This window comes from Homo sapiens, chromosome 8, assembly GCF_000001405.40.
Source record: "Homo sapiens chromosome 8, GRCh38.p14 Primary Assembly".
NCBI classification, from domain to species: domain Eukaryota; kingdom Metazoa; phylum Chordata; class Mammalia; order Primates; family Hominidae; genus Homo; species Homo sapiens.
The window spans coordinates 64,793,931-64,820,546 of record NC_000008.11 but is presented as its reverse complement, the minus strand read 5'-3'; the positions used below and the strand labels follow the sequence as shown (position 1 = coordinate 64,820,546).

The window sequence follows — 26,616 nt, the reverse complement described above, 5'->3', positions numbered from 1 at the left end:
AATTACATGTGGAAGGTTGAGGGAGCATAATTTCGAAGACTTCAATTAGTCATATTGCATTAAAAATTGCTTTATGTTTTGAAGGCGGAGCATCCCAAATGTTCCTGAGTTTTCTAACATGTCTGATTTCAAAACTTTTTTTCAGCCACAGTCACAAGAAATTAAATCAGACAAAAGGCAAACACAAAAACTCGCAGATCTTAGCACCACATCGTCAAAAGCCTAAAAACAAAAACGAGGATACTGAGCCAAAGTTCGTATGAAAAGGATAACCTTTTGAGGACAGTGACGAGAGGCATGTTAGTCAGGGACAACTGAGACCCATGCACGGTGTGAGAAGTGGCTGGCCCCAACGGACAGGCAGGCAGCTTCTAGAGCAGCTGAAACTGAGGACTGAGCAGATGCCCCTGGGACTGCAAGGCAGGACAGGTTTGCCATCGGCAGTTAGAACCGGAGCCTGAGGGAAATTTGGCCGCCAGTCAGGAGAGACACACCACACATATTAAGATGCCATGGACAGAGAAAACAATGGCTTTAATATGAGCCTCAAAGCAAGGAATGCAATATCAGTTTAATGTCTGAAATTTAGACTACTGAAGTGGTTATTAACAGGGCGAAAAGAAAATCACCAAAAAACAAACAAAAAACCTCTCAAACCCCCAAATATTTTTTTTTTTTTTTTTTTGAGACGGAGTCTCGCTCTGTCGCCCAGGCTGGAGTGCAGTGGCGCGATCTCGGCTCACTGCAAGCTCCGCCTCCCGGGTTCACGCCACAAACCCCCAAATATTTAAAAAATGACATCAAGATAAAAATCACTGCATGTCCTTAGGGTGCACTAAAAAGGAAAGTGGATTCCTTTTATATATTGGGTTGCATTGAGTCTCTGACACCATCCTTCCTCTTTTAAACAGCCCCAGTTACCACAGGACATTTCCTTCACCTTAAACATTAATAGGCCACCAGGGTAGAGGCTTGAAATTGCAGGTGCTGACTGGTGATTGAGCTGCTTCCCTATACGATGTGCTGCACAATGAGAATAGCATTCATGTGTACATCACATGTAGCAAATGTATGTACATACATATATCTGAAAAATATTTTTTACAAATCTGAAAACTATTATAGTTCTATTTTAATATTATAATTATAGAAAAACATTACAACACTGACTCTTTAAATACATTCTATATTACTCTGATTATGGGCATGAGTTCTCTTAAGGAAAGCTGAACCATATGGCTAGCAGTAAAAGAAAGAGAAACAAAAAAGAAGAGAAAGGGAGGGAAGTGGAAGAGTGAAATAGCATTGTAGGGATTGACCCAGAGTTTAAAATTTTAGACTAAGAGAAACTAAGCTGATTTTTTAAATAAGATGAACCAGAGAGAGATTTTGGCTTATGATTGAAAGCTAGAGTGGATGTTCCTACTCCTGATACACTTTCCCTTTTTCTGCCAGTAGAAGAACCAGTTTCCACACCCCAACATCCTCATCGTTAAAAAATCTTCTTTCCTTTTGTTTATTGCAGAGCTACCAATTACAGTCACACACCCATTCCCAGAGGTGGAAACACCACCAAACAGCTATGTCAATTGAATGTACCTTCTGATTGAATCAGGGGAAAAGTACACAGGTATGGAAGGTGCTTGTGGCTGGATGAGCCAGTGTAGTCACCTCAAAAACAGGGCCCTCAAATTTCTGCAGCTAAGAGTCACATTTTGGCAAGTTAATGTGTATTTTGCATTTTCTTGTTTAAGTTCATTTTTTTGGTTTGTTTTTTCATTTTTTTGCTTGTTTGTTTTTCTTTCAATCAAAGAATTCTTGACTGTATCTCTGTGGATGCAGGGACCATATATAAATTCCCTATTTCATTCTCTGTGCTTGCTCTGTACTTAATTCTTGGTAGGCATTCAATTATTTGCTGAATGATGAAACAGAATGGGTGAATAAGTGGATCCCCACTCCTAAAAATACTTCTTGCTTTTAAGATTTGAACAGTAATTTAAATAGTAATTTACAACTTAAATCTAAATAGTTGAGAATATGACAGAGATAAATATATTAATATAAAAAGTTGGATTTACAATGGCAAAAAATTAAAACAGAAATTTTTAAAAATTACTTTTGTGCTTTCTATTACATGTTGTTCTATCTTATAGAAGTGAAGTGTAAGGCCGGGCATGGTGGCTCATGCCTGTAATCCCAGCACTTTGGGAGGCCGAGGTGGGTGGATCACGAGGTCAAGAGTTCAAGACCAGCCTGGCCAAGATGGTGAAACCCCATCTCTACTAAAAATACAAAAATTAGCCGAGCATAGTGGCAGGTACCTGTAATCCCAGCTGCTTGGGAAGCTGGGACAGAGAATTCCTGGAACCTGGGAGGCAGAGGTTACAGTGAGCCAAGATCACACCACTGCACTCCAGCTTAGGTGACAGAGCGAGACTACATCTCAAAAAAAAAAAAAAAAAAAAAAAAAAAAAAAAAAAGAAGTGAGGTGTAATTTATACCCATTTCTTATTCTCATTCATGAATTCATATTTTAATCAATAATAAGTGATTATTCATTGATATTTTAATATGTTTCATCTCATTCTAACTTTTGGACATTATTGGATTATCTGCATGAATTATTTTATTTTTTAAGGGCCATCAATTTACTAAAATTTACTGCTACTTTTAATGTTTTTGAGCATCTACACCAAAAATTAGTCAACTGGGTACATGTGCCTATAAGAATCCATGATAGTTTTCCAAGAACTTCATAGGCAGTAAAAGATATAAGAAAATCCATTTTCATTTTCTCTATTTTTTGCTAAAATTGATCTGCCTAGAATAAGTCTGTGGTCAGGGCTTCAGTTTGGTTTTCCTTTCCCACTTCCCCATCTCACAACCAAACTTACCTCATATTACAAAACAAACGATTATGTTTCACCCATCCAAACTCTTACCACAGTGCCTGCAACCTTCTTTAACCAAGTCACCATAAGCTTTTGATAGGGCTTTTGTCTTTCCCTTTCTCATACATTTTTCTGTCCTAGAGAAAGTGGGAGATTTAAAAATTATGTATTCTGTCTTTGCTTGGGTACTGTGAAGTCAGGTATATTTGTAGAGTTGGGTTAGCGAGGTAGTGACAATTTCCTTTTAAAGATGTATATCTTCTTTCTCCCCAATTCTTTCCAAAGAAATTACTGATGCTGAGGAAGATCCTGAGGATAAAGCAACAAACGTAAGTAAATCAGTAGTAAGTATTGAAAGACATCTTGGATTATGTGATCTAGGTGAGAAACGTTTGGAAAAGCTCTGTGCTTTATCTATCTATCTGTCTATCTATCTATCTATCTATCTATCTATCTATCTATCTATCTAATCTACCTACCTATCTCAGAATGAGAAGGGTCAAGATATATAGAAAATGCATGCTCTCTTTCCCCGCTCTCCCTTTCTCATTTCCTTTCTGAATAATTTAGTCCAAAAGCCAGTAGGTAGGGTCGAATGTAATAACACAAAGAGAGGAAGTAGGAATGCAAGCCCAGCGCCAAGTGTGGGAGCCTAAGCAGGATGAAGAAAGCATCTACACAGTGGTCCTGTGCGGAATGGCAGAGCCTAAAAGGGGTGAGGCGGTTGTAGACATGGGGTGATGGAGGTGGTGGTGATGGGCAGTTGGTAACTTGTGAGTGGGATTGACTAGGTAAGTAAATATATTGAAGGTGATGGAGTCCAAGTTTCTCACTGTCAGAGAAAGGAGTTCTATATATTCATAGACATGCATATGTATATACACATATTAAAATGTCCATTTCTAATTAAACTTTACTTTTTAGGTTTACTTATCAATTTCTACAATATATTTAATTTTATTTGATAAATAATATGCCAATAATGATTGTATTATATCATAATTCAGATAAAAAATATTAGATCTTATGATCACAACTAATATTTAGAAAATTCAATTTATAAACATTTTTCATTGCAATTTTACTATCAATAAAAGACCTTCAAGCATAAAAATATGTTAAGATAAAACTCTGTGGGAAAAATGGAATGGAAATATGAGTTCAAAGAGAAAATGGAACAATGTAAAATTTCTGATTATTGAAAAAGAGCTTATTCATATATTTTTTAAATTGATGGTGGGCACAAAGCTGCTATTGTATTTATATTGCATAGATAAATTAAAAATAATATTATCATTTTGTTACCATATGTCAATAATTAAAACAGCCCAGAAATCACATCTTTTGAAACTAGTTTACTTTATGATGAAAACATTTTATGTTAGCTTAAAAAAGAACAGAAGGATAAATGGATTTCCAAAAAATGTTAAAAGGCAAGCAAGCAGCCCCTAAAGGTAGATATTTTATCCGCATTTATTATACAACTAGGAAAATGGAAATTCACAAAAATTGATTAACATTCTCCAGATAACAGTAGTAAGTGATGAAACCGGGAGAGTCTGTTTGACTCTGAATGTGTAAATTTCCTTCTGGGCTTTCACTTCCCCACCTTTTCCTTACTCCACTCCACTTCCTGCTTAGCTTATCTTTCCAACTGTTGGCCCAGCTGACCCACAGCGGCCCTAAGACCACCACTGGCTACTTGACTGTAGACTCACAGAGGCAGTAACTGCATAGAAGCCACGACTTCTCAGACACCTCTCCATGGGCTTCCCCTTCACAGTCTAGTTTGACATTGGATATGCTGTGCTTCACGAATTCTCTGCAAGCTTTAGCACGTCCACCTGCCATAGTGCTTCAGGTGGCCTGGTTAATGCTTTATCTCAGATCCTCCAAATTTCCCTGTTGTACTTTCACTTCCACAGCTCTTCCTTCAGTTGGTAAAGTCTAGTTCCCATAATAAATCTTTTATTCCCATAATATGTATGATGGCTCTACTTCCTAACACAATTATTGTTATCTAAAGTAATTCTAGAGTAACAAAATCTTATTATTAGTGATCTAAAACTTTTTTCTTGCTCTGGCTAGATTCGAAGACATTTGTGATCCCATTGTCTGTGGCAAATTGGGCAATGGTAGTCTATGAATTTCAGTAGAAAATCACTACTTAAAGTATCATCTAGAGCCACTTGGAAAGACTTTGAATGTCCAAGTGGTTGTTACCATAGAACAATTTAGTGGGAGTAAGTAAAATTATCATGGATTACCTGATTGTTTCTAAATGTGAGGGAGAACTTGGAGGGAAAAACATGAGATTAGGGCTTTACATTCCCAGCTCAAGCTCTTGATAAGGAACCAAAAGGCTTTTATAATAGTCCTAAAGGTGACTTTTATTTTCTGTAGCTACAGAATTGAGATTTCTAAAAACAAAATGCGAAATCTAATACTGTGGATGGCTAACATGCAATACAAATCAAATTAACAACTTCTCAAGGGTCTCTTAAGGGATTGCCTGGAAAAAGAATAAGACCCTGAATTTTGAAAGGGGGACATATAAGCAAATTCTGATAAAGCTGAGAACTTTAAACCCTAAATTCTACAGAATTTGTTTTGACAATTAAAGAAACAGTTCTACCCCTCTCTGAGATTAGTCTTCTATTATCTGAAGTAAAAAGTCTCTTATTTTCAGAACACCAACAACCTTCCTCAAGATCTACTCCCATCACCTCTCATTGCTTCTAGATCTATGAACAGATGCAAATGCCAGATGACTCTAGGGGTTCAGCTACCAAGTATTACCTCATGATGACATACCAAAATAACTGCAATCAATGTGTTGCTAAATTCTAATTGACAGAAACCTGGTGAATATGGGTGGCATTGTATTCTACAAATATTGGTTCAGGTTAGAGAAGTCTAAAGTTGGAAGGGCGTTATTTACTAATATGGACGCACTAAGCAGAGGTCATGCAATCGGTGTACTGATTTGAGGCGATGGGAATCACTCTAACTAGTTGCTTAGTTACTTAACTAAATCTTAGACTTGAAAATGGCTTATATTGAAAATGAATTTAAGGTACCAGAACTTCTTTTGCAAAATTTGCAAAAGTGTGCATAGTACATTTTTGTAATGGGATGGATATTAATTATCTTAGGCTTCTGAGCTGTGCAGTATCTGTTACAATTATTTAATTCTACTATTTTGGCCTAAACTCAGCCCTACACAATAAGTAAATAGATTGGCATGGAATTATCTTCCCATAAAACTTTATTTGCAAAATCAGGCAGTCAACATGTGGGCTATGGTTTATTGACTCCTGCTAGAGGAAAACATCCAGAGATTTAGGGAGCTCAGATTGCTGAAATGAATTTATCAGGTAAGACCCGCTCACATACATCCTGTCTCCTGGGAAGTTCTACTGGACATTCTCTTCTTTGAGGGTTTGAGAAATGCACTGATGAGGGGAGCACCAGTATCCCTGAAGAGCTCTCAAGCAGCTATTTTCTGCAGATCATGACTGGCCATTTAAAAAAAAATGCTGTCATTAATATTTTTTCCCTAAAAACAGATAGCTCCTTGGATTCAGTAGTAATGATAGGATCCCTGACTGGCAGGGAACAAGTTGCAACCACCTTCGTATCTGGCTATGTTTCTTCCCCTTGACTCTCAGTGGGCTTTGGATGGTGTGCAACTTCTGAGGCTAAACCATAAAAGATGACAGAGTATCTGTCCTGTTTTATTGGGACATCTGTCCTCAAAGGCCTAAACCATCAGATGAGTATTCTAATTTCCCTGATATCACCATACTGCGAGTAAACCCAGGTCACATGGAGAGGCCAAGTGTAGGTGAAGTCTCAGCCAATAGCCAGCATCTACCACCCAGATATGTGAGTAACAGAACGTTCAGGTGATTCTTGCTCCCAGCTGTTAAATAACCACGAGCTTCTGAGTTATCCCAAGTGAGGCCCCAGACATCATGGAGAAGATATACAAGCCATCCCTGATGTACACTTTCTGTATTTCTGACCCACAGAACCTGAGACCATAACAAGATTGTTATGATTTTATATCACTGAGTTTAGGGTTTCTGTTACTGGAACAGAAGAAATGCCACAGACAAGTGGTAATCTGAATGTTTTAATGCACAGAGATCTTTGGTTTGGAGTAAGTGATCATGGTTTCCCTAGAATTAAAATAAATAGGCAACCTACTAAAGTCTTACTTGATTTGTGTAAGCAGAAAGAAAAACTCTAAGTCTGGGCAATAAAAGTTTGACTTGACTCACCATACATTATGATTCCTCAACCAATTCTTTTATTTGAATCAGTTCATAGATCAAATAAAAAGAGTAAGACCTCCACTGAATGATGGAGAGACCAGGCCCTCTGAAGGAAAGGTCTTGCCACACTGCTAAAAATTTATACCCAGTCTTCTCCAGAAGAATGTACAGTCACTGACCTTTGGTGAAAAAGAAATAACCAGAAAGTTATAGAAATTAGGCAGTTAATATAGCTTTGGCTTAGATCCATCTCCCAGCAGGATCAGTGGTCCCTGAATACACCCAGTGATTATTTACTCAGTTCCAGAATACATATGAATAAATTATTATTTACTCAGTTCCAGAATATAGTTAGAATGAACATATTCAGCAATTGGCAGAATTTTCACATTGGTTCCTTGACCTTGAGAATGAGGGCTATTGTAGGAAGAAAGATTAAATGAAAATCCTGAGAACTACCTCTACTCAAAAAACAAAAGTAAAGCAAAAGCAATGCAAAATTTATAGAGGAAATGCAGATATTGGTGCCTCATCAAGGACATAAAGAATACAGGTAATTCTTATCATATCCCCATTTAATTTCCCTGTATGGCTTATTCAGAAGACAGATTTTAAAGAATTATAGTAGAATATTGTAAGATTTATAAGGTCATGATTCAAATTGCAGCTGCCATTCCAGATGTAGACTATTTGTCGCAGCACATCAACACATTCTCTGGCACACTATAGCTATTAATCTGGTAAGTGAAGTTTGCTTTCACCTGACAGAGCTAGCAATACACATTCACTGCCCTACATATATAACATCTTCAGCTCTCATAATAATAATTCAGTCAAAAGAGACCTTTATCATTTCTTCGTTCCATAGGATAACACCTTGGTCTATCTAAATTAATGTCATCATGCTGATTGGACTTTGTGATGAGACAATTACACTTTCTTAGACATTTTGCTAGACACACATATGCCATCTTGATGAAATTTTTAGGGGTCCAGTGGCCAGAGTTCAAGAAAAGCAAGTTGCTGCACCCAATTTCTCCTACCTCAAGAAAGAGGCACAACACCTGGTGGGTCTCGTTAGATTTGGGAGGCAACATGTACCTCATTTGGGCCTGATATTCCATTTAGGCCTGATACTGATACTCACTTAGGCCTGATACTATTTACTGGGTAAATCAGAAGGCTTTCAGTTTTGAGAAGGGTCCAGAGCAAGTCAAGGCTCTTAACAAGTTCAGGCTGTTATGAAAGTTGTTCTGCTACTTTATTTATTGGACCAATCAGATCCTATGGTGACTAAATTATCTATGGAAGATAGAGATGCTGAGGGACCTTAAAAGGTCCCTCAATATAAATCATAGAACAAATGTTTAAGAATCACTGTTTCTGTATATAACTATTCTCCTCTTGAGAAGCAACTTTTGGCTTATTTCAGGGCCCTCATGGAGAAAAAACACTTGACCACAGCCACCAAATTACCATGCAACCTGAATTATCCATCATTAATTCAGTCTGATGCACCAAGCCATAAAGTTGGATGTACACAGCAGCACTCCATAATTAAGTAGAACTATTCTAGGTCAGGCTCAAGAAAGTTCTCAAGGCATAGTATTTTCCATGAACAAGTGGATCAGACTCCCAAGGTTTATATTCTTGCTATATTACCTCCTCTTTCTCAACCCACAACCATTTTCTATGACCTATTGATTTAAAAAGAAAAAAGAAAATCTCAGCTTGCTTTACAAAGGGTGCTGCATAAAATACCGGCACCATCCAAAAGCATCTGCAATACTACAGCCCCATGCAGAGGTGTCCCTGAAGAAGGGTTGTTAAAGGAAATCCTCTGCGTAGGCATAACTTCAGGCAATGTACTTGGTGGTTTGTTCTACCTGGAGGGAGAGATGGCCGGAAGTACAGATCTACACTGATTTATGAGTGGTGACTAACAGTTTGATTGTATGCTGAGGTTATGTAGAAGAAAAATGATTAGAAAAGTGTTGATAAGGAGATCTAGGGAACAGGTATGTAGACAGACCTCTCCAACTGGGCATAAAATGTAAACATATTTTTGTTCTATGTGAATTGCTGCCCAAAGAACAGCCTCAGCAGAGGAAGATCATGATAAGCAGCCTTTTTCCTCAGCTATTCCTGTCCTTGAACAATGGCCTCATGAGAAAAAAACGGTCATGGTGGTAGGGATGGATATTCCACATCTGCATGTTATTAATCTTCCTAAACCTGTTTTCTCATATATAAAATACAGATTACAAAAGTACCTACTCCACAGGGCTGTTGTGATGTTTAAATGAAAAAAAAAATGCATGAAAGACCTTAGAACAGTAAATGGCACACATGAAATGATTACTACATATTGAATGGCTTCGCTTATTTATCTATTGTATTACTGATTGATTGATCGATTGATTGATCTACTCAACAAATACGTGTTAAGCACCAACTATGTTAAAGAACTTGTGCGAGTTTACAGCAGTGAAGTAGGCAAAATCTCTACCTTCACACGTTGACATTCTGGTGGAGAGGCTTTCAACAACTCATTACAGTGAATTATTATTTAATGATAATGTCATAAGTACTATCAAGGGGAAGTTAATATGCTGAGTAGGCAAAGAATAGGTTGTACTGACCTAGACTGGGGAATTAGAAACCACTTTCCTAAGTAAATGATGCTTAATTTCAGTTCAGAGGGAGATTTAGAATTTAGCTAGTCCAAGGAGGTATAGATGTCAGAAAGCAGGTGTAAGAAGGATTATCTGTAAAGGCTGAAAGAGAACCAGGTTCATTCACTGAACCAAATTGCAGTCTATATTGGAATGAGATCAGAGTTGATGGGGAGAGATGAGGCTAGGGTCTAGTCACTGAGGACCATGTAAGCTTGAAGGTTAAGAAGTTTGCATTTTATTCAAAAAACAATGTGATACTATTGTAGGGACTTAAAATATTGTAGTAACTTGATTCAATTTGTATTTTTTAAAAATCATCACTATGGTTGTAGTGTGGACAATGAATGGATGAATGAGGCAAGGGAAAATCTGAGGACATGCAGATGAATGGTGGATGATGCTGTCTTGGACTAAGTGATGGCTGTAGAGAATAGGAGGAGACAGATTTAAGATGGGTTTTAACAGAGTAGTTAAATGACTTAGAACCAAAGCTGGCGCCTCAGTTTTGAGCATGGGCCACTGGATGGATGGTGATGCTTTAGGAAAAAGAGCAGATGTGTTAGCTATGGTTAAGAGTTGTTTGGACTTGCTAAGTTCCAGGTGCTTATAAAACAACCATGTGGGCTGTTTAAAAGACATGTGATGGGGGGCTGCATCTTAAAGAAATCTGCAGCCAACACATTTAGGAGCTATTCCATAGACATAATGTTTAAAGCACAAAGTTTACCTGTTTAGAGTTTGTAGTAAAAAGAGAGGAGCCTCTGGCCTCTGGGATTGAGCCCTTTGACATTTAGTGGCCAAGTAGAGGAAGAACTGCCCAAGGGGACCAAGAAGCAACCAGAGAAGTAAGAGGACATTCATGGGAACCCAGAGAAGAAAGTATTCAAAGAAAGTGAGAGTGCTGCTGAAAGGGCAAGTACGACATGGGCTGAAAAACGAACAGTGAGTCCAGCACTATGGAATTGTGTTATTGCTTCTGGTTACATTGAAGAAGTCTAGTTCCTTCTCCAGACATTGGTCCCCTGAGTCCTTTAAGGCTCCTAGGATGCTGCTTCATAAAACAAGAAATATGCTCCTACTCTGCTTCTAATTATATGTGAATACATGGGCCACAAAATGATACTGCCTTGTGCTTCCACTATCTTAGAGAAATTTTAGCAAAATCATTTTTTCTTTCTTTAGTAGCCTTTACTTTCCAAAGTTTCAAATTTTAAAGGAAGTAAAAGAGAGAAAAGAGTGGTAGAATCATAGGAAAAATTAATGGCTACTCATCTAAAATTATCTTTTCTCTCTCACACTGACTCTTTATCCTCTGAACAAGCTTACGTATTTCATGTGGCCCCAAATCTCTTATCTAAGTGGACTCATGGAAGTCCCATCCATTTTTCCCTCAATACACTGATAAATCCTTACAGCAAACACAATTGAAACTGTCAAAATGAGGTCCCTAATAGACACAATTGAGATGATTTGTTTCTAAAATAAATACCTTCCTGAAGTTTTGTATCCAGGATGTTTTCTTCAAATTAAAACTTTAATATTGTATATAGATACTGACCCAACATCTAGAGATATCTGTTAGAAACGAGCTAAATTGCAAGGTAAGCTTCAATAGGAAGGATCTAGTAATGTATTATATATAATGAGTTATACACATACAGTAGAAAAATGCAACTAATATTCATACCAATAAATTAGAAATCATTTGCTTGCACTAACTAGTTCGGGAACTTGGTCAAGTTCATTGGACTATTGTTCAGATAAAATATAGATGAGAATATTTAGCTCGGCGATCAGCACGGAGTAGGTATTCAATAAATATTAATTTCATTTCATTTTTTTAAATATCAGTTTTCTAATTTTCATTCATTCAGCAAATATTTATTGATAATCTACAAAGTGCCATGAACTCTGCAAAGTATTACGTATACATTGGTGAAAAGAGACAGACATGGTACCTGTTGTCACAGACGTTACAAAGGACATGTGTAAAGTGAAAATAATACTCAGCTCACTGGATTGTCAAGGGGTCACGTGAGATAAAGTTTGAAAATGCATCAACTCAGAAAAACTACTCTTGTTCATTTTCAGACTTTTATTTGGTTTTGTTTGTTTGTTTGTTTTTTGTTTTTTTTGAGATGGAGTCTCACTCTGTCACCCAGGCTGGAGTGCAGTGGCGTGATCTCGGCTCACTGCAAACTCCACCTCCTGGGTTCAAGCCATTCTCCTGCCTCAGCCTCCCGAGTAGCTGAGATTACAGGCACCCCCCACCATGCCCAGCTAATTTTTTTTGTATTTTTAGTAGAGATGGGTTTTCATCATGTTATCCAGGATGGTCTCCATCTCCTGACCTCGTGATCTGCCCGCCTCGACCTCCCAAAGTGCTGGGATTACAGGTGTGAGCCACCGTGCCCGGCCTTCAGACTTTTATTTGTAAAATAATTATGTTCTGACTCCTGAGTCAGAGCTGCAGAGAAAAGTAGGAGGGTAGAATTCCAATCTTCACTTCAATTTCTGTGTGAGTTTAGGAAGGCTCCTTACAACAATTATGTTTGTCTTGGCACGGGGGTTGTGTAAGTGCTAGAGGGCTGTGAGTTTTGCTGAGCCTGGCAGTAAGAATCTAGGTAAGGAACAGATGTCCAGATTGCTCAGAACTGATAAAAAAAAAAAAAGTAGCAAAAACAAAGAGACATGGGAAAGGAGAAAGGGGTTTTGAGGTCTTGGCACACCCAAAGGCAGGAAGAAGAAATTCTGAAAAGCAGGAAGAGGAAATTCTGAATTAGCCCTTGTACCTTTCTAGACCAGGAATCCAGCCTGTAAAAAGGAGAGGGGCAAGTGAAGAAATGTCTAGAAATGAAAGTTTCTGAGGTGCCTGTAAATGCAGAAGGGACATGTGTTGATATTTGTCCATTTATATATGTTCTGACTGACTAGTCACTGTCATTCGAACATCTTTAAGAATAGGCTGGAGGGGACACCATTCTCCCCTACTTAACCAAGTATCTACTTAAATTTCTAGAAGAGAAAATGAGCCAGGCATAGTCCCAGCTACTTAGGAGGCTGAGGTGGGAGGATCACTTGAACCCAGGAGTTGGAGACCAGCCTGGACAACATGGAGAGAATTTGTCTCTAAAAAGAAAAGAAAAATATTAAATGATTTATGTCAGTTAAATTTTTTTTTTGCTTTTGAAGATGATGACTATATTTTGAAAATATTCCATGCTCCTTGTTCAGAAGAAATTTTTGACAGCTACTTAGCATGGGGAACTCCAAAGCCTGACTCAAATAAAAGATGTGAGCTGAATTTCTTTGTATTATAAAGGCAGGAGGTATTTGATGTTTGCAGAGGAAAATTCTGGAGGGACACTGGAACCAGAGAGGCTGGACTTTGTCAGAGGGAAGCATAAGAAAATTCCTATTGCCATGTGGCCTAAGAGGACTGGAGGATATAAAATGTCAAGAATTTTTTGAGTGGGATCCCATGTTCTGTACAATATGACCCCACCCCCCTCAAGAAATCTGCCACAAAGATGTTGGTGCCTGCTGTGTTTGGGTTTCTTGCAGAAACAAGTGAAGGTACAGAGTGCTGCCTTTTGGTTATCAGCTGTTGAAGGGCCAAAACAGATCCTGCACACGCAGAAGCAAGTGCCAGGAAGCCCCTGGCTGATGTCTGGGTTAAGTGTGTGTATACCCATCTTAGTTCTATTGCAACCCTGGCAAGCAGACAATTAGACTGTTTTTCAGAATCATTACAAATCAATTTTCTCATTCATTAGTGCTATGTTTGTTCATAAAGCAGAATATTCAAAACTTCCAGCATATGTATAATTAGTGTTATGAATTGCTTTTATAAATGTCAAAATTTAGCAATCTTTGTTGGTGGAAAAAATGCCAGACTTCAGAGAAGAAAGGAGAAAGAGAATAACCATGGAAATGTTAGTGATTAGAAAGCTGCAGGAGAAAATAAAAGGCCTTAGAAAATCCTGAGGGAATTAATTTGACCATTTTCCAGTGGAGCTTTGGAAAGGAAAGCAGGGGGTGGGGAGAAAGCTGGGAACAGAGCTCACAAACGAGGAGTCAGATACGAAGGGGGAGAGAAAGAGCATGTCGTGTTTTTCTAGTCTTTAAAGAAGGGTGTGGGTATGAAAGGGCCCAATGTGAATCCAAGTGGCAACTGGCCCACGTGGAGTCCCTGCTAAGAGGATGGAGCTACTTCAGGCAAGGGCACCATGGTAGACTGAGCAAGTAAAATGTTAGCGTGAAGGAAAAATGGTCCTAAGCCCCTTCTGCAGCAGAAAGCATTTGCTTAATGAAATGTATACCTACTTCACGGAAAAGCGTAACCTTCCTAAAAAAATGCTTTAGTAGTTTTCTGATATAATTTTATGGGATTTTGATTTGTTTGGAGAAACTAGTTATGTTCCCTCATTGTCCTCTGTCAGGCAAGAGTTGAATGATTTTAAATTGTTCTTTTAGTTACTCTGACAATACTTAGGTAGTATTCCCTATGTTTGTAATCAGAGTAAATGTTTGAACTGACCTCCTAGAGGCTTTCCTTGTTGCAATATTATAATAAAACCTGACTCATAAAAAAAAATTTCTCTTTAACATTAGAATCACCTAGTAATGTGACTGCTGTGTTCTCAGAAGCAGAGAGGCTAATGTTACTATAGGTATTTTGCTAATTTGCTTTTATTCATCTTGGATTGTTGTTTCTCTCATTAGCAAAGCACCTATAGTAACACTAACCTCTCTGCTTCTGAGATATTACAAATCCAAGATGAGTGCAAGCACCTCCACCACCTATGTGCTATTTGCCTCCAGCATATTTCTGTAGCATCCTAGTGGATACTGACTATTATTTTGTCACCCAGATTCTCTGTCAGCATGGAAGAACCTTTGCTCCAAGCTCTAGGATTGCCTCATCAGCTGTTTCAGGACTCACTCTTAGCTAAAGAGAACCCCATCACTTGTAGACACCTCTCCTTTCCTGCAGGCAGTCTGGAACCAGTGACATTAAAGACCTGAACCCTGCACCTCATCTTGGGACAATTCTAAGGGCTACCTGAGTTCCACATATTATCAAGGACTCAGCTGAATCTTTTGGTAAGACTGTGTCCCAGTTCAGCTTCTCTCTCTGCATGTTTCCTTCCCATCAGCATGCCTGATGCTGATCCTATGAGCCTGTCCTAAAACACTCTTTTACGATAATGTCCCTCTCAGAGTCTGTTTCCTGGGACCTGAACTGTAACAGGGGTCTTTGCTTCTCGGAGTACTGACCTAGCCGAATTTTTTTTTTTTAATGTTTTTGACTCTGGAAAACATTTCCTTAGTGAACAGAGGTGGATGGGGAGTGGGGCTGGAGGAGGGAATGGTTCTCATTAAAAGGAATGCTCAGGGAGAGAGTCTTGTGCTTTTTGTCCCCAGAAATATAGGGTCAAGGCTAGTGGGAAAATGAAATGTTGGAATAGCCAGTGTGAGTTAGAGACAGAGACAGAGAGTGAGTCTCAAAACTTGGCGTGGGAAGTAGGGTCAGATTGTGAGAATGAGCTGAGGTTTAGCACGGGATTGTGATTTTATAAATCACAGTATTCAAAACTCAAGTGTGTATAAGCAATGCCAAGACTGTTAAACAAGAAATGACAAAACTCTCCAATCTTTTCCTTCCTCTTGGAGATAATCAGAGCCATCTGTTCCACCATTTTTGAAGCTGCTTCAAAATAATTATATTCAGGTCTTACCTAAAATTATACTTTATTAAAAAAAGGTTTAAATGGAACTACACTCTATTGTTGGGTGTCACTTTGCTCATTCAACAGCATTTATTTAATAAGATTTTTGCCTGCCATGTCTATATGTGTCCTGTACCAGACTGCATGCTGGGTCAGCACTACAAACTGTCTTTATAGGAGAAAGAAGAACTAAAGCAAAGAGAAAACAACTAAAATCGTTTAAATTGTAAAGAACGACAGAATAAGTGGAAGCATTTGTGATTTAAGATATTTTTAGTCAAGTTTGGTGCCTGCATCTACGATGCCTCACTATTTACTATGTGCCAAATTAAACAATAACTTTTGGGCTTATAGCAGTCTCAGTATATGTGATTATTGCAATCTCAGCTACAATCAGTTTGAATAGTCACCTTAAGGAAAGAAGAAAGCCACCTATTTTATATTTTAATTGGGCAGAAGTAATATATCAATAAGCTAACACCTCAGCTGGGCTGAATTTGTCTGATTAACTTGCTTCTACTTATACCCTTTGCCAGTGGAGCAGAAGGTGCTCAACTGTGAAAAAAAGGAAGCCCCAGGCATTTTCATTGTGATATATATATATATACACACACATATATATTTACTCCTAACAATTTAATCCTCATAAACTTATAGGGAAAGTAGTCTTAAATCATTTTTCAGATGGAAAACTTGAGACCAGCGTCAGAGCTAGACAAGGGCCATGGAGGGCCAAGGTCATGGCAGAGCCTCAATTGTCTCCACAGGGAGCGGTTATGGACAACCTAAGGTAATAACTGGATCCATAAAGATGGAAGAAAGAATGACTGAGCAGGTAAGTAAAGGGTTAGTGAACGAAAACTCTAAGGAGGGCAAGGTAGTACAGTGAAAACGACGGGTGACTTCACAGTTGGACGTAAGAGCTGAATAACCACGGGTGTCCTGGAATTCTTTTAAGTCTTGGTTTTCTTTTATGTAAAAAGGAATAATAATAGCTACATCAGAGATTGGTTTTGAAGATTAGATGAAACAATGTATGTAAAACAGGTACCTATATTCCTTTCTTCTTCTTTCTCTTCTTTCCTTCCACTTCTTCGCAATTTTGCCCAGGGATGGTCTTCATTCTAACCGAAGGTAATGGGAAATCAAAGTTAGTTACAATAAAACTCATGGGAATGGGAGAGAAATAAACAGCAGTCAATCTTTTTAGTTATAGAGGGGTTGTGCTTTGATATGATTCAAAACCTAAACCTAACCTGTATTTTATGTCAAAAGTTGATAGGACCTTTCAGTGTTGGACACTCAATTCTGACTTTACGGACTTCCCAATACTGGAAAAAGAATGTGTGAAATTCCATTTTGGTATTTTCCACAGTGGTACTTTCCCATGTTTCCTAACAGCTGAAGCCTGTAATCTACCCTCCCCTCCAGCACATCATTTGCTTCCCAGGAGCTCACAAGATTGAGGCCATATGGGTGCATATCCTTAAATTCCCCCATGGTCACTCCACAATCTTCTTTGAGTGGCCTTTTTACTTTCTTTTGTCCAATATTAATGTGTTTCATCCCCTTCATCCAAGCTTTTTGAAGGAAGTGACATCTCATTCTTTTTCTTTTTTTTTGAGACAGAGTCTTGCTCTGTTGCCCAGGCTGGAGTGCAGTCATGTGATCTTGGCTCGCCACAACCTCTGCCTCCCGGGTTCAAGCGATTCTCCTGCCTCAGCCTCCTGAGTAGCTGGGACTACAGGTGCGCGCCACCATGCCCGGCTAATTTTTGGATTTTTAGTAGAGACAGGGTTTCACTATGTTGGCCAAGCTGGTCTCAAACTCCTGACCTCATGATTCGTGCCTGCTTCAGCCTCCCAAAGTGCTGGGATTACATGTGTGAGCCACCAAGCCCATCTCATTCATTTTTATAGGTCCAATAGGCCAAGTATAGTGCCATGAACATAATTTGCACTTAACAAAAGTCATTAAGTAGGTAGACTTGAATGTTTCAGTCCAGTTTATTAGTATTTTCAAAATCTGGGCAGAATTAGGATGTACATGTTGAAATGAAAGAGGAAATAGTCATTATTCAGGTTTTGTTGACTTCCACAGAGGCTCTTGAGAATCAAAAGTTAAGGCATGGGGGGAACCAAAGCCAGAGTTCAAGTCCTAATGCTAGATTAGAACAAGAACAGAGAAAGAGGCTAATCACTCCAGCCACCTGGTAGATGAGGGTCACTTGGCTAGTGCAGTGAGTCACTGAAGTACAATCTGTCACCCTCTCCCTTTCTTTACTTCCCCTACTCTTTCTTTCTGTCACCCTCTTCCTCCCCTCCACTCCCTTCCCCTCCCTCCCTCCCTGCTTCCCTACTTCCTTCCTTCGAGTGGCCTTTTTACTTTCTTTTATCCAATATTAATGTGTTTAGTCCCAGCTTTTTGAAGGAAGTGACATCTCATTCTTTTCTTTTCTTTTTTTTTTTTTGAGACAGAGTCTTGCTCTGTTGCCTAGGCTGAAGTGAAGTAGTGTGATCTCGGCTCGCCACAACCTCTGCCTCCCAGGTTCAAGCGATTCTCCTGCCTCAGCCTCCCGAGTAGCTGGAACTATAGGTGCGTGCCACCATGCCCAGCTAATTTTTGTATTTTTAGTAGACAGTTTCACTATATTGCCCGCCTGCCTGCCTGCCTGCCTTCCTTCCTTCCTTCTTTTGAGAGAGACAGGGTTTCTTGCTCTGTTGCTCAGGCTGGAGTGTACAGTAGTGTACTCTGATGATAGCTCACTGTGGCCTCTAAGTCCTCGGTGGGCTCAAAGTGATCCTCCTGCTTCAGCCTCCTGATTAGCCAAGTAGCTGGGACTACAGGTGTACACCACCACACCCAGCTAACTAGAAGTAGTCTTTATGATGGACTGGCATTTGTTCAGTTAAAAATGGAGGACTCTGTTACTGAGGAGGAAGGGGTGAGCAGATATGGAGGGTCAACCGGCAATCTCTGTCAGAGAGGTGATGGGGATAATGGTATACTTTGGCGTTAAAACTGAATTGAACTGGATTGAATATAATGAGGCTAATAATGAGCCACCATGAAAGTAAAAGAAAAATAAAAGGTATCTTTAGATTGTTTTAATCTGGTTATAGAGCGAAGGTCCCTTTTAATAAAAGTGGAAAACCCAAAAGAAATATATATTTAAGATGTATTGCATATATATAATAAAGTGTCCCAAGTAAGCCACTGTGCAGATAACATAGGAATATGATACAGTTGCAAACCAAATCTGGTAAATAACTATGCAGGCTTCTTCCTTCCACTTCTCTAAGGCAGGGCAATCAACCATGGGTTTTTGCTGTTATTAATGTGATAAAATAATATGTTTGGTATGGTGTCTGGCAAATAATAAATGTTCAGTAAGTAGAATGAATTCTTAGTATTTTAATTATATTTTTAAACAAAGGTCATCTAGGGGAAAACAGAAGTATGAGGATTGAGACTTCTTCTGAAAATCAGTGAGTGGCTCTCTGCAGTGGTTACAGAAATGCCCCAGCATGGACTCCCTCCTGTAAACTGGCTCTGCTGTCCCAGCAGTGACGGAAAGCACTCAATTTGTTTTCTCTTGGAAGAGACAGAGTGGCTGTCAGTTTACTGCAATATTTTGGACTGCCTGGAAAATTCAATGTACAACAGGAGAAAGGAGAGGCAGGAGACAGACTCTGGAATAGAAGTCAAAGACAAAGAGGCTCGTAAACATCAAGATTCTGGGGCTAATCTAGCCATTCACAGCTTTAGAACCATGGACAGTAAAACTTAAAATATATACTATGTTCTAACCACCACAAGGTTATTCACTCTAGCAACTAAAAAAGCACTGGCCTCAGGATTTGCAACATTAAAAGTCACAGCTCATCCACCATCAGATGCTAACTGACCCTGCTGTTCCACAAGCCATAACTACAGCTTTGATTGGACAAGAGTCTGGTTTCAGTAACTTTCTCCTGATTAAGAAGACCACTGACCATTGACTGGTTTTGCCAGTTTACAGAGATTACACACTTACCTACCTTTGTATGTAAAATGATCTTTTGATATATAAAGCATAACTGTAGCACATTTAAATGTTAAGTAGCCACCCCAAAGTGAACATGGGTCATATGTTACGTGCATGTTTGTTCAATAGGCATGTGTCAGGACCACCTTCATGAATATTCATAGCTCCTCCTGTAACCAGTTAAATATATATGTTTAGCCAACCTCTTCAGCATAAAGCTCCCACCCCAAGCCCTCCTTTGAAGGGCCTGTCTCTAGTTTTGCCTGGATGGCCACCTTGCAGGCTGTAACCCTTTGGAAGAAATAAAGTCTCCTCTCTCCTTTTCAAAACTTAAAAATTGTGAATTTTTATTTTTATTTTATGTATTTAACTTTTAAGTTTAGGACACATGTGCAGGTTTGTTATATAGGTAAATTCACATCATGGGGGTTTGTTGTACAGATTATTTCATCACCAAGCTATTAAGCCCAGTAATTATTAGTCATTTTTTCTGATCGTCTCCCTCCTCACCCACTCTGCCCTCCAGCAGGCCCCAGTATCCGTTGTTCCCCTCTATGTGTCCATGTGTTCTCATCATTTAGCTCCCACTTATAAGTGAGAACATGCTGTATTTGCTTTTCTGTTGCTAAGGATAATGGCCCCCAGCTCCATCCATGTTCCTGCAAAGGATATGATCTCATTCTTTTTTATGGCTGCATAGAATTTCATGGTGTATATACCACATTTTCTTTATGCAGTCTACCACTGATGGACATTTAGGTTGATTCCATGTCTTTGCTATTGTGAACAGTGCTGCAATGAACATAAGCGTGCATGTGTCTTTATGACAGAGTGATTTATATTCCTTTGGGTATATACACAGTAATGGGATTGCCAGATCCTATGGTAGTTCTGTCTTTGAGGAACTACCACACTGATTTCCAAAATACATGTGGCCAACAAGCATATGAAAAAAAGCTCAATGACACTGATCATTAGAGAAATGCAAATCAAAACTACAATGGATTTTTTAAGTTAATAATGTGAACAGGCTGAGTATGAGGGACATGGTGGCCCAAGCTTGAGTATATATATGGAACCGTTCTGGCGAGGGGAGTTGTACAATGAAGACAATTTGTGCAGGGCTTCTCATTGCAGGTGGAGGATATGACTTCGTCACAAAGACAACCATTAAGAGTTTTGAACAGAGTAAAAGCTGGAGAGGTCTGTGTTTTAGGGAGGTGGAAATGGGGATGATGGACTGGAAGGGTAAAAAACCAGAGATTGGTTTTGAAGCTGCTGTACCCATTCCAGAGAAGTGTTGCATTGACAGAGCACACAAGTCCTCGAATAGGACCGTGGTTAGAACGGCCGATATTTATCAGTGGGAATGGTAAACATTTATCAAGTGAGCAACCAAGTTCAGTTACTTAATCTGAGTCTCATTATGTCTTCTATAAAATACACATTAAAAATAGAAAGTAAAAACGTGGGTAAAGTACCCAGTGGATGGTCATTACTCAGAAAAAGGTATTTTAAAAGTTTCTCCCTTATTCTTTCTGAGTACAGCCTGTAGTACTTGAACCACTTCTCTTTCGTCCCCTACCACGCTGTTCTGCAATCTCTTTTTACCTGTCTCACTCTCTTCCTGTACTGTGTGCCTCATCGGGACTTCTAAAGGCTTACGGCCTAGGTCTTTGTATTCCGTGTCTCTGGCACGCGCCTCTGCACACAGCAGGCCTGAACCAAAACTTGTGAGCAAATAGGATGTAAGGGGGTGAAGGAGGTGGGCGCGAAACGGGTTCGAGGTCGCGCACTCCGCCGGTTTCTGCCGCCAGCCCAACCCCGCTGGGTCGTACCTAAGAGATCGCCGGTGTCAGAGCGCAGCGGGCACCTTCACAAGCATCTTGAGGGACAAGCAGAGTCGCTCCTCCCGCAGGGCGCGGGCTAAGAAGTGAGGAACCCAAGGGGCTCCCGTCCAACTAAGAAGCGAAATCCCCCACCTCCAGGCCTTCAGGGCTGGTTCTTGGGAAATCCTAACTCTTTCCCTTCTAACCCCTTCCTTGGCCCTTCTTCCTGCCCGGGAGGATCAAGGGCGCTGTTTTCCAGAAGCTGCCGGGTCGGAAACGGTGGGGGAACGGGGCGGTACGCGTGGGTGGAGGATAGGCGGGGAGGGGGCAGTCCACGAACTTTTGTCATTCAGCCTGGGAGACCACGGTGACATTCCTGTCTGCGCTGCGGGCAGGCCAGCCTCTCCGGCCCTGGACTAGGGGGCGCCGCCGAGAGAAGCCGCCGCAGGCTGCAGAGTCGCCGACCGCGCTGTTCGCAGGCAGACCCCGGGCTGCCCACCGCGGCCTAGCGCGCGCCGGATGGCAGGAGAAGTGTCCGCGGCCACGGGCCGCTTTTCGCTGGAGCGGTTGGGCCTCCCGGGCCTGGCCCTCGCCGCGGCCCTGCTGCTCCTGGCCCTCTGCTTGCTTGTCCGGCGCACCAGGTAAGCGCCTCGGCCGCCAGGCCACGCATGCGCCCTGGGCCCCGCGGGCCGCGCGCGACCCAGATGGCGAGGGGAGTCCCCCTCCATGATTTCCAGTGCAGACAGTCAGAACTTGCTGCGGGGTACTGGCTTCCTTTGGGACTTTGTAATAACAAAGGCTTCTTCTGTCTTTTTCCCACACATACGCGTACATATTAAAGCTTTGGGACCGAATTCCATTTGCTGCTCCAGCGTAAGTTGTAATAAGCCCTAGGTTGGCGGTATGCATTATGCATCACAGACACATTGTGTGCCTTGCCACTGCGAGTTGATATTTTATGGCCTAGAATTCATAGAGCATTTCAGGAGGGGAATATTCTTAAATTTCATCAGTTAAAAGAGAACTGTTTCAAGAAAATGCCAGTGCATGGTGTGAACAATAACTCTGAGTGCCTCTCTTCCTCAGTTTACCTCACTGTACCTCATTTGGAAAGCTGAAATAATAGTACATGCCTCGTGAGATTTTTGTGAGTACTAAATGAGTTAATGGAGAGTATTTTATGCAGTTGTCCTATCATTTTTATAAGGACAAAACAAAACACACAATAATGACAAAATCTAGACGTGTGTCACTTTAATTTGAATTGTGGAAGTAGAAATAGAGAAGTTCAGATAAAATCATTCACTTTGAGTTTAATCTGTTTTTCCTTTCTTTCTGGGTCCTATTTTCATACTGCTCTGGTGTTCATCGCTTTTGAGAACCAAGCGGATGCATTTTGTTGGATGATAATTGATATATGTATGTATATTTGCATACATATGTATCAATGTATAGATATCTATGTGTGTGTGATACAGGTTGTTTCTCAATAGTTTTGGGGGAAGTGACACCTTTGTACTGCATACAAATATCTATGGACATTTCTAGAATGCCTGGAGATGAGTACTCTAGGAGTATTTGCCTTTCTTCCCATGTCAGTTTTCAGAGATGTTCCTGGAATGTGCGCTTCCAGGTTGCCTTTTCCAATGGCTGTACTTTTGCTTTAGAGCCCAAGATGAGGACTCAGGACACTTGAACTTCAGTGGTATGTGATTCTATGTAGGTTCCACCTTCTCTATTTGCAGGGTCTCTATTTGCATTTGCAAGCCAGTTAAGATGCACCCCTAGGTATGCCTTTAAAGAGAGGTGGTAAAAGAAGGCTGTTGGTTCTATTCCCACTTTACATGCAGGGTAGAAACAGACAAGCTGACTAGGGCAGTTTAGATCAGTGAAGGTGATTGGTGTGAGAATGTGGAACTTGAGGGACAGGAAGGCAAAAGGGCAAGGTAGGCTTTCTCTTCTAGCATTCTGAGAATAGGCTGATCTTTCTCTATATCATGAAAAATTATTTTACTGAGATATTCATGCCATCAACTGCCAATTCCTTCATACCAGGAAGACCGTTTAATGCCCCAAATCTATAGGACACTACTTTGATTATACTGCATTTCAGTGTATAGAAGATAGCTTCATTTGTCCCAGTACAGAGTCATGTTCCTTATTTCTAATGTTTGGATAGTTTACCCTAATGCTCTACGAAAATGATTTTTCAGATATCACCTCTAAGAACAGAAACATGGTTAAGAGTCCCTGATATATTCTTACAGATTTTTTAAAGCTTATGCTAATATGCATGAATATATGTTAATAAAAATCGTGGGGAAATATACCCTGTGTTGCACCTTATATTTTCCACTTTGCAATACATTTTAGATCCCTTCCTATGTCAGTTTATAGAAGTCATTATTTGTAATGATTATATAAATATACACCATAGATACACAAAAACACACACACAAAACATAGATATCTTTGAGCTTTTGTGGAAATATTTATGTAAGATGGTGGAGTTGTTATCAAAATGTATGTGTGCTTTATGTTTTAATAGATGTTGCCAAACTACTCTAAGTCTCAATTTATGTTACTACTAATGTAGTGCAAGTGCCAATTTCTCCACATTCTGCCAATACTGGTATTATAAATCATTTTAATTTTGCCAATCTGATACATAAAGAAAATGCAGCTTCATTTTTATCCCAAATTTTCATGTATTTACTTTTAAAGGAATTTGTATACTTTTAAAGAAAATAATTGTCTGTTTCTTCAATAATTTATTTTTCTATTGGGTTCTTTTTCTATATAATCAGCAAAGACTCTTATGTAATGGGAATTTTCATACTCTTTCATACCAGCTGCAATTATTTTTACTATTGTAATTTGCATTTGTTTAAGAGTTTCTGGATATATGTCCTTGCTTAGAAAGCCCTTCTTGTTCCTAACATGATAAAAATATTCAGCACAGTTTTCCATTATCACATTGAGAGATTTTTATACATACATAGATTACATTTTTATTCTCATTCCATTTTCATCTTTTGAACAATTATGGCTGAAAAGTTTGTAATATTGCATAGTATAGGAATGCCAGATGTTCCAAAGTAAAAATTTAAATATTACCTATAAAAATGGTAAAAAAATTTTTAACAATCGGTAAAAATCAATTCAGAGGTCATTTGTTCCCTTCAGACACTTACCAATTCCACCTCTTTTGGCTACAGTACTTTGATTTCCTTTTGTGAAATTGTCTTTTCCCTTGTTGGATATTATCTGGTGAGACTGTCAATCACAGATGCCATTGCAGTACTTGTCAGGAGAGATGACAGTGGCTTAGCCTAGGGTTGTGACTGTGGGGTTGATGGAAGGTGGTTAGAATCAGGATACATTTTTGACAGCAGAGTCAACATAATTTACTAATGGACTGAACATGATGTGTGAGAGAGATGGGAATCAACAATGAAGCTTAGAAGTTTTGTTTCCCTTTTTTTTGGTTTTGGGTTTTTTGTCTGATTATTTAGTGAACGGTAATATCATTTCCTTAGATAGGGAAGGTTTGGGAGAATTGAGGAAATCAATAATTCTCTTTGGGTTATGTTAAATAGGCAGTGAGCACCAAAAGCTCAGGGGAGAGGTCCAGGCAGGATACATATTTGTGAAAGCCATAAATGTGAAGTGGGAATTAAAGCAAGAACAAGTTGAGATCGCCTGATGAAAGGGTTTGATGGAGAAGAGGAGGGCCTGGGCCACTCTCCTTATGGAAACTGAGCCTGGCGGAGAAAGAGGAAAATATTTTACACTCCTTTCTAGTCAGTTCCTACCCGAGTTCTGAGTCAGTTTTGCTCATTCTCAAACTTCATATAAATGGGATTATACAGTATCCTTTTTTGCGTATAACTTATTTCTCTCAACATAATGATTTTAAGATTCACTCATGTTGTTGTATCTATCATTAGTTCATTCATTCTATTTAATTGTGGTTTGTAATATATATAACATATTGATTGAGAGAAGATTGAGGGGCATAGAATATAGAGTTTTCTATCCACAACCATTTCGGAAAATTGACACTTTTCGAAGTAATTGTTGCTTTTTTTTTTCTGAACACTTCCGCCAGTAATACATGAGGGTTTACGTTGCTCCACATCCTTGCCAGTATTTAATAATGCCAGTCTATTGATTGGAAGCACTATCTTTCTGGATTTTGGATTTTGTTTTTTTCCTATGAAGTGTTGATTTTTGTTTTAGCACGCAGATACATTTCTGGCTAATTATTCTGAACTCATGGAAGCTTAGTTTTACTCTTTGTCAAGGTGAATCTATGAAAAGCTTGAGATATTTACAGATTCTCTCTTCTTTGGTGATGCTATGGTTTGAACGTTTGCTTCCCCTCTAAAATTCATATGTTGAAATCCTAACTCCCAAGGTGATGGTATTAAGCAGTGGGGTCTTTGGGTTATAATTAGATCATTAGGGCAATGCCTTCATAGATGAGATTAGTGTCCTTATAAAAGAGATCCCAAAGGGCTCCCTTGCCCCTTTGTCCATGTGAGGACACAGCAAGAAGATGGCCATTTATGAACCAGGAAGTGGGCCCTCATCAGATACTGAATGTGCTTGTGCCTTGATCTTGGACTTCCCAGGCTCCAGAACTGTGAGAGATAAATCTCTGCTGTTTATAAGTCATTAAGTTTATGGTATTTTGCAATAGCAGTCTGAATTGACTAAGGCAGATGAAATTCAAACCCTAAACTCTGTCACCCCAGTGGTGGGCAGTGGCTGAAGCCTCTGTGCAGACTTCCAGCAGATCCCTTCCGCTGGGCTTTTTGGGGTCTTCCCTGAAGATGCACATGTCCAGGGTTGGCCAAGAATTTGAGGGGTGTATATATAGAGATTTCTGAAGTGCCTCCTTCTTTTCTAGATTTTTCTCCTTGATTGCCAGCCACTTCAGTAGCCCCAAACTCTGACACCCCATGCTGATAATATTGTGGCTTTTTCCTTGAGTTCCAGCTGCCCTCAGGGGCAATCCTGTCCACCCCTGGACCTCACTCAATATTGGTCTGTTCTTTAAGGGTTGCCTCCCTTCTGATATCTGCCTTCTTTTGCCTATTCTTCAGCAAGTATAAATTGGTTGATTGTTTTTTTTTTTGTTTCGTATTTTGTTTTCTGTGGAAATGCTAGG

The 26,616-nt window shown here is 39.6% G+C and overlaps 1 protein-coding gene and 2 long non-coding RNA genes across 6 annotated transcripts in view, besides 2 other annotated features; 2 read left to right on the top strand and 1 right to left on the bottom strand.

Moving 5' to 3' along the window:
- Positions 1-2,943: 2,943 nt before the first annotated feature.
- Positions 2,944-19,948, top strand: LOC105375878 (uncharacterized). Of its 3 annotated transcripts, none has more exons than NR_188110.1 (5): positions 2,944-3,223; positions 14,849-14,958; positions 16,352-16,419; positions 18,062-18,179; positions 19,021-19,948. It is a non-coding gene; the product is annotated as an uncharacterized LOC105375878 (long non-coding RNA). The 3 variants fall into 3 exon arrangements; NR_188109.1 differs by having other exon boundaries at positions 16,269-16,374; NR_188111.1 differs by lacking the exon at positions 16,352-16,419.
- On the bottom strand, positions 3,115-21,766 carry LOC105375879 (uncharacterized). The gene is made up of 3 exons (XR_928992.3): positions 21,450-21,766; positions 16,636-16,708; positions 3,115-3,203 (listed from the first exon to the last, which is right to left on the bottom strand). It is a non-coding gene; the product is annotated as an uncharacterized LOC105375879 (long non-coding RNA).
- The window catches only part of CYP7B1 (cytochrome P450 family 7 subfamily B member 1), a 212,163-nt gene continuing 207,356 nt past the window's right edge, over positions 21,810-26,616 (top strand). For both annotated transcript variants that reach the window (NM_001324112.2, NM_004820.5), the window contains exon 1: positions 21,810-22,081. In NM_001324112.2, coding sequence (NP_001311041.1) covers positions 21,960-22,081 — 122 coding nt within the window. In that variant the 5' untranslated portion in view covers positions 21,810-21,959. The remainder of the gene's footprint in view (positions 22,082-26,616) is intronic.
- Positions 21,843-21,892: a silencer, noted in NCBI's record as "silent region_19244". NCBI's record gives its function as "represses an Ori minimal core promoter by ATAC-STARR-seq in GM12878 lymphoblastoid cells {active_cell/tissue: GM12878}" and the evidence as "EXISTENCE:reporter gene assay evidence [ECO:0000049][PMID:35858748]".
- Positions 21,903-22,012: a silencer, noted in NCBI's record as "silent region_19243". NCBI's record gives its function as "represses an Ori minimal core promoter by ATAC-STARR-seq in GM12878 lymphoblastoid cells {active_cell/tissue: GM12878}" and the evidence as "EXISTENCE:reporter gene assay evidence [ECO:0000049][PMID:35858748]".